This window comes from Homo sapiens, chromosome 1 (genome assembly GCF_000001405.40).
Source record: "Homo sapiens chromosome 1, GRCh38.p14 Primary Assembly".
Classification (NCBI taxonomy): domain Eukaryota; kingdom Metazoa; phylum Chordata; class Mammalia; order Primates; family Hominidae; genus Homo; species Homo sapiens.
The window spans coordinates 67,316,363-67,330,279 of record NC_000001.11 but is presented as its reverse complement, the minus strand read 5'-3'; the positions used below and the strand labels follow the sequence as shown (position 1 = coordinate 67,330,279).

The following is a 13,917-nucleotide window of genomic DNA, read 5'->3' as shown; positions in this document are numbered from 1 at the left end:
TTTTTTAAAAAAACCCTTTAATTAGTTATACTCTCTTGAATATCAGCTATCTGTGGGACTGATCCTTTGTTATTATAAGCCATTGAATTTTACAACAATCCCGGAAAGAATCATAATCCTATACCTTTTATTTTAAAACATGCAATGCCTAATATTATATTAAATTGTAGACCTTTTCTTTGGAATATTAAATTCTATATAACTCTCTGTGGACATTTCTTAATATTTCTCTTTTCAATATCTTTTTTAAATGCTAAAAAATAATAACAGGACAGGGTAAATAATAAGGAGAAATGAATCCTCTGTTAGAAATAAACTATAGAAAATTAATATTGGTTTACAAAAGCTTTAAAAATTTCAGAATCAGAGATCAAAATTCAAGATATTTCTTAATCAACAGAGGCATACATGACTTTCTGATAATTCTCTCGTGTGTACTTTTGGGATAAATATTCTTAAACTCTATTTTTTGCTGTATGAAAAGACAGAGGTCTGCGCAGCAATATTAAGAATGCTTCAGTGTTTTTTCCTTCACTCTAAAGATAATTACCATATTCCAGAGCCTGCTGTTACTGGGCCGATATCTGAGTCGATTAAGCAGTACCAGTCCCTCATCTCTCCAATAAAGGGTACATCTGCTCACAGAAGCCTTTTGAAATTTGATTCTAATGTCCCACGGAGGAAGAGGCCTCACTAGTAACCAGGACAAACAAAAAAGTGTGGTTCAGGATCTGTGATCAGCAATTGTCTTATGTACTGGCATGAGCTATAAAGAGTTTGACAAAACTCAGTTCTGAGATGCACAACCATCAAATTTGGTAAAATATACAAGAGAAAAGTTCCAGGCTTTAAGAAAGAACTTTTTTAAAAGCTGGATTCACTTCTGAATCTTTAAAATAATCCCCCTTAATCAAATCTCATTTTCACCAAATAACTACTACCAACATTAGTGGTAAGTTTCAACTACACTTAGTCCAGTGGTTTTTCAAAAACCAATGTGCCAAACCCAAGAGTTCCAATGACTGAGAAGCCAGAGACGGCTAGTGATGACTGCCTCAGGAGGAGAAGAAATGTTCGTAGGAAAATTCATAGCAAAGGGACAGAGGAAAAGAACAAGGGGGCGAGAAGGTAGCCTAGAGATGAACGGTCTATGAAAGAAATGGGAGGAAGCCTGAGAAGAAATATGGTGGAAAAGTGTATAGTAAATGCCAATGATCAGACTCATCGTTAGCAATATGTATGCAGAGAAGTGCCATGGAAAGAGAGGCGAGAAGCACATAGTGTGAGGTTGGAACTTCAGGCAGCCCAGTTCTGCCTGGATGGTCAGAACTTGGAATGCTTGAGATTGGCCTCTGATTCAACTGGACCGATTACATTTGCTCAGAAATGTACTGGCTCACTCCAGGGATGGAGGTGAGTATTCTCAGAGCAAGATGCATCTGTGACTTGAGAAATTTTATTTATAGTTTGTACCTCGCTGCTCTAGCCTAGCAGGCCCACATGTAGCCTATCTCACAACAATGGGAGTAGCCATGGGGGCGAAAGGACACCTCCTCCAAGAAGGGCTTGCACTGAGCATCTTGAATGACCTCACAGGACCCTCTCCTCAGTCAGGTGGTATCATTAGTAGCTGGTTCTTTCATGGGATTTGAATCCAGGGGCTAATTTCTTCAATAGAGAGAATAATGTTGAACATCCCACTTTGTATAGCCATCTTTAGATAGCTCAGAATAATGCACCCTTTTACTTGCATCAAAGTAACTTCTATCTTTTGCTTATGCCTGTTGGCCAATTTCCATCAATCTCTGTCTTTCTTGAAACAACCATATAAAAAAGATTTGAGTGATTTTAAAAATAATTATAAAGTACCAATGAAACAGTGAAATAAAATGTACCTATGTCCAAGAATGTGAATGTGGATGGAAGTGAAGAGGAGCTTCCAAGACTATTGACAGCAGTAACCTTGGCTGTGAAATTGGATTCAGGTGATTCAGGGGTGAGGTTGATTCCAAAGTCCAAATAGTCACAATAAATGTCTTTACATTGCTTCTGCCAGGTTAAATTTTTTGGTCCACTTAGCCTGTAAACAAAACACAACCACGTGTAGCAACATGTTTTATGTGCTACTTTCTACTTACAGTAGAAAAGAACAAAATGTTTAAATATTTAGAATTCTAGACAATTTTTAAAGGTCAATCTTATGACTAGGGGATACACCCCGGGAATATTTGTACTATATGGTCATGTAAGACTATACTTCACCCAACTCCCTTTTTTGGTAGAACTGAGATGTTCTTCCACATTCATGTAGATAGGTAACCAAGCCTACGCTGCTGAAATTCCCCAAACCCTGCTTGTCATCTTGGCTCCCCAGGGCAGTTCCAAACATTATCCTAAGCACTGTGGCCACCTTGACATCTGTGGCACAGAATTGTCAGTTCCTAGTACAGCAGTGGCCAGAGTAGAATCCTGGGCTATTTTACCCTAATACTGAGACCCGCGTGTCAATAGATGTTTCCTTTAGGTTAGAAAAAGTAAATGTACTACAGAACCCCTCCTTTCCTCCATCTCCTCCTCACTCAGGAATAGCACAAATCAGCTGGATCTTTAATGGGATCATGAAATCTACTTCAAGGAACAGAATCTCCCAGACTCTCTCTTCTCATGGACTCTTAGGTCAGCCAATGGTGCTTTAAAAAGAAACTTATCCAAGCGAATGGGAAACTACCACAAGGAAGAGTTTATTTATGTATCATGACCCCAAGAGCCTACAGCTGCAGAAAAGAGAAGCGATCTTATGCAGCCAGTTTAACCCTACTAGAGTGGGAAAGAACAGCTATAACTTGGATCTTGGATGCACTGAAGAGAACTCTGAGTTAGAACTCAGACCCAAGACATTCGGTCTCTCATACTGTAGATGAATGAACCAGTTTTAACTATAAACATAGAAACTCTTTAAAAAGTATCTAATTGTCTAGAAGTATCTATTGCTTCTCCTTTCTGGTAAAAATAAAACAGATAGGCCGGGCACCGTGGCTCACACCTGTAATCCCAGCACTTTGGGAGGCTGAGGCGGGTGGATCACGAGGTCAAGAGATCGAGACCATCCTGGCCAACATGGTGAAACCCCGTCTCTGCTAAAAATACAAAAATTAGCTGGGCGTGGTGGTGGGTGCCTGTAATCCCAGCCACTCAGGAGGCTGAGGCAGGAGAATCACTTGAACCCAGGAAGCAGAGGTTGCAGTGAGCCGAGATTGCGCCACTGCACTCTAGCCTGGTGACAGAGTGAGATTCCGTCTCAAAATAAATAAATAAATAAATAAATAAATAAATAAAATAAAATAAAAATAAATAAAGAAAACAGATATTTCTAAATGTCATTTAAGAGAAGATCTACAAAACAGCTGCAAAAATACAGCCTCTCACTCACTGTAGAGTATACTCAGTGTATAAGTGGGTGTCTCGTCCTCTTTCCCAGGTGCAGGCCACAGTCCCCTGTTCTCCCTTCTGTATGCAGGATAAATTTTGAGGCTGTTCTGGAGCAACTTTAAAAAGAAAAGACAAAACCTTATATATCACACAGGTGATATTTCAACCGAATTGTTATTATCTGCCATCAACATGACAATACGTCCCCCACATGCCGTAAACCCAGGTAAACTAGAAGCTATTTTAGATTCCATTCAAGTCCCAGTTTGCCATTAAGGTGTAAATTTCTCCTAGAAACAGTAATAATAGTAGTGAATATGGATCAAATACTATATGCCTAGCCCAGTGCTATGTGCAGTTTTTCTGAATTAGACAGCGTAGCACCCCATGAGGTAGATACTATTATTATATTTTTTTTCAGAGAGGAAACTGAGAGAGGTGAAATATCTGGCCCAAGATCATAAAATTATGAAGTGGCAGATTCAAGGCTCCAGCTCAGCTGTAACTCAAGTCCAAGCCTTTTACTCCATATTCTACCATTTTCCCTGACAGGTGAACATCCAGTGCTAGCTCCATTACCCCTGGTAATAATAAATTAATTTCTTTTAGAGTGATGCCCATTCAAATATTAGAAACCTTTAAAAATGAGAGACTTATTTGCTTTCTTCACCTGATATTTGCTGTCAAGACACTTACACCCAGTTGCCTCAGTCATGTCCTCCCGGGCTATACCATCTAAATCTAATTTCTGCATTGTCTCTTGGAGCACTTTATGGACATTTATAAATTAATTCTTTTGTGTACATAGGCATTGAGTACCTCCCACGAGCCAAGCACAGTGCTAGATGTGGAAATACAAAGATGTACAAAGCAAGCATGGTCCCTTCTATTGTAAGGTGTGTATTTTTAAATAAAGCTATTTTATGGTGAAAGGACCCAAACTAGGAATTTTTTGGACAAAATGGAGGTAAGAGAAATACTCAGCTATTCAGTCATCCCATTTTACCCTAATACCCAGACCCACGTGTAGATACATATTTCCTTTAGGTTAGATAAAATGAGTATACTACAGAAGTCCTAGCTATTGTCTACACTGAAAAAATCTGTTATTGATTAAATAAATATCTTTTTTGTCCTTAGCATCCACCATAGACATAGGCACAGGAATGCCCACTGTGTGACCTTGGACAAGTCAGAGCTTCAGTTGAATCTATAAAATGGGTATAATGATATCTAGCTCATATAGTTTTAATAGAATAATAAACTTTTCCTTTAAAAAAGTCTCTTTTCGCTGGATGCGGTGGCTCACGCCTGTAATCCCAACAATTTGGGAGGCTGAGGTGGGCAGATCACTTGAAGTTAGGAGTTTGAGACTAGCTTGGCCAACATGGTGAAACCTCTTCTTTACTTAAAATACAAAAATTAGCTGGGTATGGTGGCACATGCTGTAATTCCAGCTACTGAGGAGGCTGAGGCGTGAGAATCACTTGAACTCAAAAGGTAGAGGTTGCGACGAGCTGAGATTGTGCCAGTGCACTCCAGCCTGGGTGACAGAGTGAGACTTTGCCTCAAAAAAGAAAGAAAAAAACAACAACAACACAAAACCACTGGAGGCTCTTGCTGGAAGTAGAATAAAGGAATGTTGCCAATAAATTCCAACAACAAACCTTTGAGCTCTTACTATGTGCCACACTCTGTGCTAAGCACACTAGGTGCATGACCCCATTTGATCTGTATAAATGACTCAAGAGGGATGCATTCAGATTAACCTCATATAATGGATGAAGAAGCTGAGGCTCAGAGATGTTAGGTAACATGTTGAAGGTCACAGAGCTAGTAAGTGGTAGAGCTGAGTTTGAGCTAGTTCTCTCTGATTCAACATCTATTCTTGTTCCATTTTATGAAGCTGCCTGGGGCATCAGCTTCCTCTAAGACATATAGACTGGAAACATCAGAGTCTTTCTCAACATTTCTTCTTCATTTTCTACATCCAGTTAGTCATCAAATTCAGTGGATCCTACTTCCACCAGGTTTAAGCTGTCTGTTCCCATGTTTGGTTCCCATTGCCACTGTCCTAGATAAGGACTTGATCACTTCTCCCTGGACTATTAAAATAGTTTACTCTTTTCTCAGAGACTCCACACAGGTGGTCTGAGAGTCGTTTTAACTTACAAGTTCATACTTAAAAGTTAGAGTCCTGGGCCAGGCACAGTGGCTCATGCCTGTAATTCCAACACTTTGGGAGGCCGAGGCAGGCAGACAGCTTGAGCCCAGGAGTTTGAGCCTGGGTAACATGGTGAAACCCTGTCTCTACTAAAAATACAAAAATTAGCCAGACATGGTGGTGCGTGTCTATAATCCCAGCTACTTGGGAGGCTGATGGGGGCGGATCACTGAGATTAGGAATTAGAGACCAGTCTGGCCAATATGGTGAAACCCCCTCTCTAATAAAATACAAAAATTAGCCGGGCATGGTGGTGCATGCCTGTAATCCCAGCTACTTGGGAGGCTGAGGCAGAAGAATTGCTTGAGCCCAGGAGGCAGAGGTTGAAGTGAGACGAGATTGCGCCACCGCACTCCAGCTTGGGCAACAGCCTGAGATTCCATCTCAAAACAAACAAACAAACGAAAGTCTCTTCCTTGTGTATATATACGTACCCATGTACATATATACATTTAGATATGTTTATATATATATTTACACAGTGTATACTTTTGCATATACACACACTACTCGTGACTGAGCCATATAGAATACTATATTAACTTTTCATTTTCTGTACAACTTTTACTCTTAGAATTAGTAATTATCTTGTTTTTCCATTTGTTTAGTTTTCTTGTTAATAAAATTTCAAACTTGCAAGCCAATTATCTGAATCACTGTTCAATATACTGCAATGTATTGGGACTTCTATCCATTTCATCTGCTTGAGGATCTCTCTTGGAGCCTTGTGAATTTTCCAATATAAGACAGGTTGTCTCCATGCCTGGTACCCAGCTGTCATTCTGGGACTGCTCATCCTCAATGTCTCCTAAGTTCCTTCTGTTTTTCCTTTGGCTGTCTTGTTTCTTAGATTTAATGTTTTATTCCTTCTTGTCTAATTACTTGGGTTGGTGGAGCATAGCCTCCAGTAGTTCCCTGGGAAAGGGTGCATGCGAGGAAATATTTTGAGCATAGTTTAAAATGTCTTTATTCTACCCTCACGTTTGACTGATACTTTGAGTATAGAATTCTAAGTTGAAAAGAGTTTGTAGTCAGGACTCTTGTTGCCTCCCACATTCCAGGTTGCTGTTGAGAAGCCTAAAGCCGTCACCTGAATGCCTCCCATGTGCCTTGTATGGGATTAAGCACTTTGCATATAAGAGGTCTTCTAATTACTATGACCATTTCATGAGGTAGATGTTATTATCTTCGTAATACAGATGGAGAAACTGAGGCTCAGATAATTTAAGTTGTCTAAAGTACACTGCCACTGGCAGAGTTGAGATTCAAAGCCCATGCTACTTCTACTATACCGCAGGCTGTCAATGCTGAGAGTATATGACTCACAGTGGTGTGAACAGGAGGCCCTGAGCTGGAAGGTGAGTACTTGGCCTAGTTTATACCTCCTTCCTACCAATGATCTGCTTGGCCATTTGCTTGGTCTTCTGCTCCGTGCTTCTGGTGGCCCTCCAGGAAAATCACCTGGCACCAACTATATATATATATCCTTATAGGTCACAGAGAGGAGGTTTCCATCTTTCCTGGACAGAGTCTCATTGAGCTCTATATCACTGCCTTTATGACAGAGATGATGTCTATGAGGCTTGGTCAGCCAGCCTGCTAGAGCAATTCTTCCTAGTCTCTTCATGACTCTTGTCTGCCACGCCAAAGCTTCCTTGGAACCACTGAGGCACAGGGTGCCATGGAATCCCTCAGGGCCCATGCTTGCTTATAGGATTGCCTGGTTGGACCTGCAAGGCTATGGGCCACAGGTTGCGAACTGCAGGTAGGTGTGCTGCTGGCTGCTGGTTCATCCTGTGCACTGTGGCTCATGCTGCAGATGTCAACTCTGACACTTTAGTTCTAATCCCCCAGCAGCTGCCTGAAGGGACCAGCAATGCAAGTCAGCAGTGTGGGAAACTGAGCCCCCGTCAGGTGGACTTTGGCCAGTGGGAGATAGTTAAGTTCTTCTTTCTCTTGTCATGAGATTTCTATATGCTCTTTCTGGGAATGTCCCTAAGTGTATAAACAACCAGCTGCATTTTCTGTTGAAGCTGTGGCCAGTCCAGTGATGTTACCACCTGGCATTTGCTTTTGTCCCTTTCCTGGCTCACTCCTTCCCTCTTGCCTCCCTGGGGCTGTGTAACTCCTCTGCCCCATGCCCCCTTCCCATGAATTGTTAGCAGATTTTTTTTTTTTTTTTTTTTTTTTGCTGGAGTCAGTTTCCTAGAGAACTGAGGAAAAGATAGTAAGTATGATCAATGTTTTCTTTTACCTTCTGTTAAGTATGAGAACCAGTGGTCCGGGTGAGCATGGATGGAAGAACTATTTTGGGAGGCATTAAGTTAGATAGGACGAGAGGTGCTGTTCAACTCTGTGTAGTCATCCTGGGCTGCATAAGTCTAAAAAGACATCTCTTCTTTCTTTTTAGGAGGCTGTAGCTTTAAACATATTCTCCTAAGTCAAAAAAGCATAAAGACCCACCTGCAGAGATCCATTTTTTCTGCCACTGGAGTTAAGGACAACAGATAAATGGTTTTAATGGCGAGAGAGAGAGAGAGAGAGACTTGCCAAATAAGATTCCAGTTTCTGAACTCACATTGAAGCTCTCAGGTCGGTATCAAGATAAAATACTTCAATGTGGTGGGAAAAGAAAGAACATTAACCTGTATTTGGGTTTCTGTTTAACACCAAATACCAAAAGATCAAAAATACCAAAAGATCACCAAGTTTTAAAAATTCAAAATGGAATGCTCACCACCAACGAAGATCTCTGCTCCACATATTTGAATTTCATCACTATTGATACAGGCCAGTTTGCAGACAAACAAGGTTGTACCAAGGGGAAGACCTGTGACTTGAGAATTGAGGGAGTGGCCATGGTGAAAATTGATTCTTCTGTCAAACTTGTACAGGATTAACTTGTTACGTCTGGAATAGTGAAAGCAGCCTTGTCTGGGCTTCAAAGAGCATGTAATATTGACAGTGGATCCAAGTAAAATTACATGGGAAGGCTTCACAGTCACATCGCCTCTCTTGCACGCATCTGCAATAAGATACAGATGCAATATTTAGTTGGTGATAATAAACCCATTTCAAAATGAAGAGTTTATGTAATTCCCCAAAACAGGGTAAAATTAACTCCATCAGATCATGCAAATATAATTAACCTACATGTCTCTGGTTATAATGGTGATGTACAATGAAAACAGAAGGTAAACATATTGAAGTCTAACTGTATTTGAATGAAAATATGCATCCGTCTCATAACAGTAATACTATAATCAGAACTATAACCAGGAAAGTGGTTAGAAAGCAGGATTGGAAGAACATTCAGGAACACAGTTCCGGGAAAAACCAGCCTCTCTTATATGCAAATTATTTACCAGACTACTAAAGCCTTCCCAGAAAAAAACACATTTGTTTCCATCACCATTTATGATTTATAATTTTTACTTAAATACTTGTACCAAGAAAAAAAAGACAGTTTTAAAAGAGTATTAAAAAAGTATTGCAAACATTGTGCTACTACACTCCAGCCTGGGCAACAGAGCCAGACCCTGTCTCAGAAAAAAAAAACAAACCAAACTTGTGGACGGCGGGAGGCAGGAAGAAAAACGTGCTGAACAAACCAACACAAGAACAGAAAACCAAACAGCGGATGTTCTCACTCTTAAGTGGGAGTTGAACAATGAGAACACATGGACACGGGGGTGGGGGTGGGCATCACGAACCAGGGCCTGTCATGGGGTGGGGGCTGGGGGAGGGATAGCATTAGGAGAAATACCTAATGTAGTTGACGGGTTGATGGGTGCAGCAAACCACCATGGCACAATGTATACCTATGTAACGAACCTGCACATTCTGCACATGTATCCCAGAACTTAAAGTATAATAAAAAAAAGAAAAGAAAAAAAAGAAAAATGTGCTGAAATGTAAAACATGTATTTGTGATGCCTAGCTGGGTTACCAAGCCACTTTCTTAGGAAGAAATAAAATAATTGGACCCTTATATTAATCATTAGTGCAAATTAAATAAAATAACTATTAGTTATAGACAGAACCAGACTTATCCACTTAAATGACAGAGATTGACTACAAAAGACCAACTACCAGAACATTTACCACAAATACATACTTCATCTGTAACTGAGAATTTAAACCACAAATTCTTCCACAGAGTAACTTACAGAAATATCTTACCTATTTTTGCTTTAATCAACAGCCACGTGATTATAAACATAAATGCCAATGAGCATCCTCTAAAAGTATGTGCCATCAACAATCAACTCTGGTATAGAACTCCGTATTCTTCCTTGCAAAAGAAGACAAATTCATTCATGTTAAATATGTTCAGAAAATACCAGAGCCAAAATAGCTCAGAAGAGCTTCAAGTGCCGCTTTATTTTTCTCCACCTTGTTGAGATCTTGTTATTTTAAAAAATGACATGTACCTTTAAAACTAGTAAATCGAATATCTTAGCCACCTTCCAAATCCCATCTCAGTGAGACTTCTTGGGGTCAGCAAAGGATTAGAGAAGGAATTTGGATGTCTTAGTTCATTTGGGCTGCTGTAACAAAATACCATGACCTGGGTAGGTAATAAACATCAGAAATTTGTTTCTCACAGTTCTGGGGACTGGCAAGTTCAAGATCAAGAGGTCAGCAGATTCAGGGTCTGGTGAGGGTCCACTTCATAGACGGTTCATAGATGGGGCCTTCTTGCTGCGACCTCACATGGTGGAAGGGACAACGGAGCTCTCTGGGATCTCTTTTATAAGGTCACTAGTTCCATTCGTAAAAATTCTACCTTCATGACCCAATCACCTCCCAAAGACCCCATCTCCTAATATCATCACCTTGAGAGTTAGGATTTTAACATATAAATTTGAGGGGGACATAAACATTCAGACCACAGCAATAGGCTTTGGGGTCCTTTAGAACTGGGTTTAAATACTTGAGACCATGTGCAAGTTGCTTAACCTGTCTGAGACTTAGTCCCACACAACACTTTTCTTTTTCTTTTCCTTCTAAACAAGGCTTCATCATCATACCATACAGAGTAGTTTGACCAGTGAGAGTTTCTGATCCAGTCAAGTGATTCTGGAATCAGTAGATCGAAAAATGGCTCATAACCCATCTGGAACTTAGTAAAAGATTGATCTCTTTGGCAGTAAAAAAGGAATTCCAAGGGTTGTTTGGGTTTTGTAGAGAAGCTTGTTTACTTATTTGTTTTTTAATTACTTATTTTACAGAATGATTTTATCTTGAATAGGTCAGAAAACATAAGCTGGCAATTTCTGATCTGTTTCAAATTCAAACCCAAGGAATGGCTCTACTGGTCAGTAACAAATTCTTTAAATTCTATTAAAGATAGGCCAAAAATTCATAAAGTAGGCTGGGAAGTTCTGTGATGTCAGGCCACTAAAAAGTAGTCAGTGCAAAGCAAAAGTTTACCTCTTAACCCCATACCTAGACATATGCCAGAAAATATTGAAGAGCTTCAGAAAATTTCACTTATTCATTCAATATGGATGGCTGCCTTTCATGTGCTAGGCACACTAAGTGCTAGAGACAAAGCACTCCTGTCCCTGTGGGGTTCTAGGAAAGCGCCCTTTGTTTCCTCTACCTCTAGCCTAGCCATCATTCAGGAAAACCCTAAATAATGTTAGCATAAGTCTTTGCTGGCTACTCTTTGTTTTCCTCTTGATTTTTAACTCTTGGAGGACCTTAGCTCACTCAAGGTATTTTTTTTTTTTCCATTTCTACTTTCTCTGTAGGGGATTTCACCTGGTCCCCTAGCTCTAGATGTCATCTGCTAGCTAAAGATTTCAGAGTAGATCAACTCACACATCCCCCTGAGCTCCAGTCTCATCCATCTGTCTCCTTGGCATTACCTCTTAGATGTCTAACAGATTCTCAATATTAAGGTGTTCAGTTTAAATTCTTGGCACCCTTTCTCCAAATTCATTCTTCCTTCAGCCTTTTCTATCTCAGCGAATGATATTCTTACCCCAGGTGGCTAAAAACACCTAGAAGTCATCTTTGATTCTAACCTTTTTCTCATCTCCTACAGCTAAACCATCTCTAGTCCCATCAACTTTACCTCCAAAATATGTTACAGATCAATGCACTTCTCTCCATTCCAACTGTCCCCTCACCCTAGTCCAAACCACTGTCATCTCTCCCCTAGTCTATTCTAGCCGTCAACATGTCTTTCCAAACCATCCTTGCCCTTTCTAAGCCATTTTCACAGAGCCAACTATCTTTGAAAAACATAAATCAGATCATGTTACCCCCTGCACACCACCACTATTGGAAACCCTTCAACGGGTCCCTACTGCTGTTAGAAAAATATCCACAGCCCATACCACACACAATCTCTCAGCCACTGCATGGCCTCACTTCTTCCCATCTTGCCATCATCGCTTACATTTTTGCCTGGTTCACTCTGCTCCATTCACACTGGCCTTCAGACTGTTCCTTGAACAATGCCCTTTGCTGCCTAGAGGACTTTGCATTTTCCATGTCCTCTGCTAGAATCCTCTTCCCTTGCGTCTTCGTGTGGCTGACATATTTACACCCTTTAGATTTCAGTTCATGTGTTACTTCCCCAGACAGCCCCTCCCTGACCACTGTCTCTATCCCTCCGACGCCCTCCCTGACCAATGTGGTCTTCCCCAGTTGATTTTTTACTCATCACCTTATTACTGTCTTCATGGCACAATCTGTAACTGCCTTATTCCTTTACTTAATTACTTGTTTGTCATCTGTCTTCTATACTAGAATATAAGCCCCATAAGAGCAGGAACATTGACTACCTTGCTCACTGTTGAATACCAGCACTTAACACTGGGAAACAGTAAGTACTCAACAAATGTCTATTGAAAGAAAGATGCGAAGGAGGGAAAGGAATATGATCTTTAGAAAACTCCCTATAAACATCCCTGTGGTAGACAGGAAAATGGCCCACCAAAGATGTCCATGCCCTAATTCCCAGAATCTGTGAACAGGTTACCCTACATGGCAAAGACACTTTGGAGACGTGATTAAAGTTAAGGACCTTGAGATGGGAAGATTATTCTGGATTAACCAAGTGGGCCCAATATAGTCACAGGAGCCCTTAAAAGTGTACAAGAAAGGCAGGAGAGTGGGTCAGAGAGATATGAGGTACCAAGGACTCGCTCTGCTGCTGCTGGCTCTGAAGTGGTGGAAGGAGCCACGAGCCAATGAATGTGACAGCTTCTAAAAGCTGGGGATGGATCTCAGTTCAGATACATAAAATGTGTTTCTTGTGAGTCACTGTTAAAATGTTTGAGAAGCACAGATTTAAGCCAAAATCTGCAGGTCTCCCTGTCTCTAAACCAAAAAGTCCAAGGTCATGGAATACAATGGCCTCTGTGAGCTAATTTCTGTCTTTATCACCAGCCACATCCACCACTCTCTGCTGACACTACCATCTAATGACACTGAGCTGCTTATACTCCTGCCCGTCCCATGCCTATTCATGCCTCTGTGTCTTCCCTTCATGCTATTCTCTTTACTTTCCCACTATTTTTAGACTGGGTGAGTCTTATTCATCCATCTAAACTCAGTTCAGACACCTTTCATTCAGTTATTCATTCAATAAATATGTATTAAGCAGCTGCTAAGTGCCAAGTCCTTGGGATACGGTAAAGAACAAGACAGAAGGGATTTTAGCTCTCATGGAAACAACATCCTGGAGTAGACAGGCAAAAAACAAAAATATAAGCAACAAACTGGTGAGTTCAGGTAATAATAAAAGAAGGACATAAAAGAGGAGGGACCCTGGGGAGGATAGAAACTTGTCAACAAAGGCGTTTGCAGGAGGCGAAGCTTGGGCTAAAATTGGTGCTGGCCAACTGAAGTTGTGGGAACACTTTTCCTCACAGAGGAATGGTGAATGCACAGCCTGGAGGCAGAGGAACGAGCTTGCCAAGGGAGAGGTACAGAAATAAGGTCAGGGCTGTTGGAGAAAGTGACTGCAGGGAGAATGGTATGTGATGAAATTAGAGAAGACATCAGGAGCCAGATTTACTATGGACTTGTTTGCGAAAAAAGGGAGCCTAGATTTTACTCTCAAATGTATGGGAAACCACTGGTGTTTAATTAGGAATTTTACTTATTTTAATTGAGTTTTAATTGAGGGTGTAACGAGCTACGAGTGACATTAACACACACACACACACACACACACACACACACTACTCTGGGGACTAGGGTGGATGCAGGCAGACCAGTTAGGAAATGACTGCAGAGGCACA

General features: G+C 40.7%; 1 protein-coding gene across 19 annotated transcripts in view, besides 2 other annotated features; it reads right to left on the bottom strand.

Annotated features, from left to right (window-relative positions):
- The window catches only part of IL12RB2 (interleukin 12 receptor subunit beta 2), a 91,361-nt gene that overhangs the window by 68,445 nt on the left and 8,999 nt on the right, over window positions 1-13,917 (bottom strand). For 13 of the 19 annotated variants that reach the window (NR_047584.1, NR_047583.1, XM_011541384.3 and 10 more), the window contains 5 exons: window positions 9,836-9,947; window positions 8,391-8,678; window positions 3,431-3,545; window positions 1,896-2,080; window positions 551-693 (listed from right to left, as the gene is read on the bottom strand). Coding sequence is in view for 17 of the 19 variants with exons in the window: in XM_011541384.3 (XP_011539686.1) it covers window positions 551-693; window positions 1,896-2,080; window positions 3,431-3,545; window positions 8,391-8,678; window positions 9,836-9,911 (807 nt within the window). In the remaining 2 variants the exon portion in view is untranslated. The remainder of the gene's footprint in view (window positions 1-550; window positions 694-1,895; window positions 2,081-3,430; window positions 3,546-8,390; window positions 8,679-9,835; window positions 9,948-13,917) is intronic. The other 6 variants (XM_005270827.3, XM_005270828.4, XM_047419668.1 and 3 more) reach the window with 1 other exon arrangement.
- Window positions 10,923-11,424: an enhancer, noted in NCBI's record as "NANOG hESC enhancer chr1:67784539-67785040 (GRCh37/hg19 assembly coordinates)". NCBI's record gives its function as "activates a minimal SCP1, AML or CMV promoter by ChIP-STARR-seq in naive H9 embryonic stem cells {active_cell/tissue: H9 hESC(naive)}" and the evidence as "EXISTENCE:reporter gene assay evidence [ECO:0000049][PMID:30033119]".
- Window positions 12,214-12,263: a silencer, noted in NCBI's record as "silent region_980". NCBI's record gives its function as "represses an Ori minimal core promoter by ATAC-STARR-seq in GM12878 lymphoblastoid cells {active_cell/tissue: GM12878}" and the evidence as "EXISTENCE:reporter gene assay evidence [ECO:0000049][PMID:35858748]".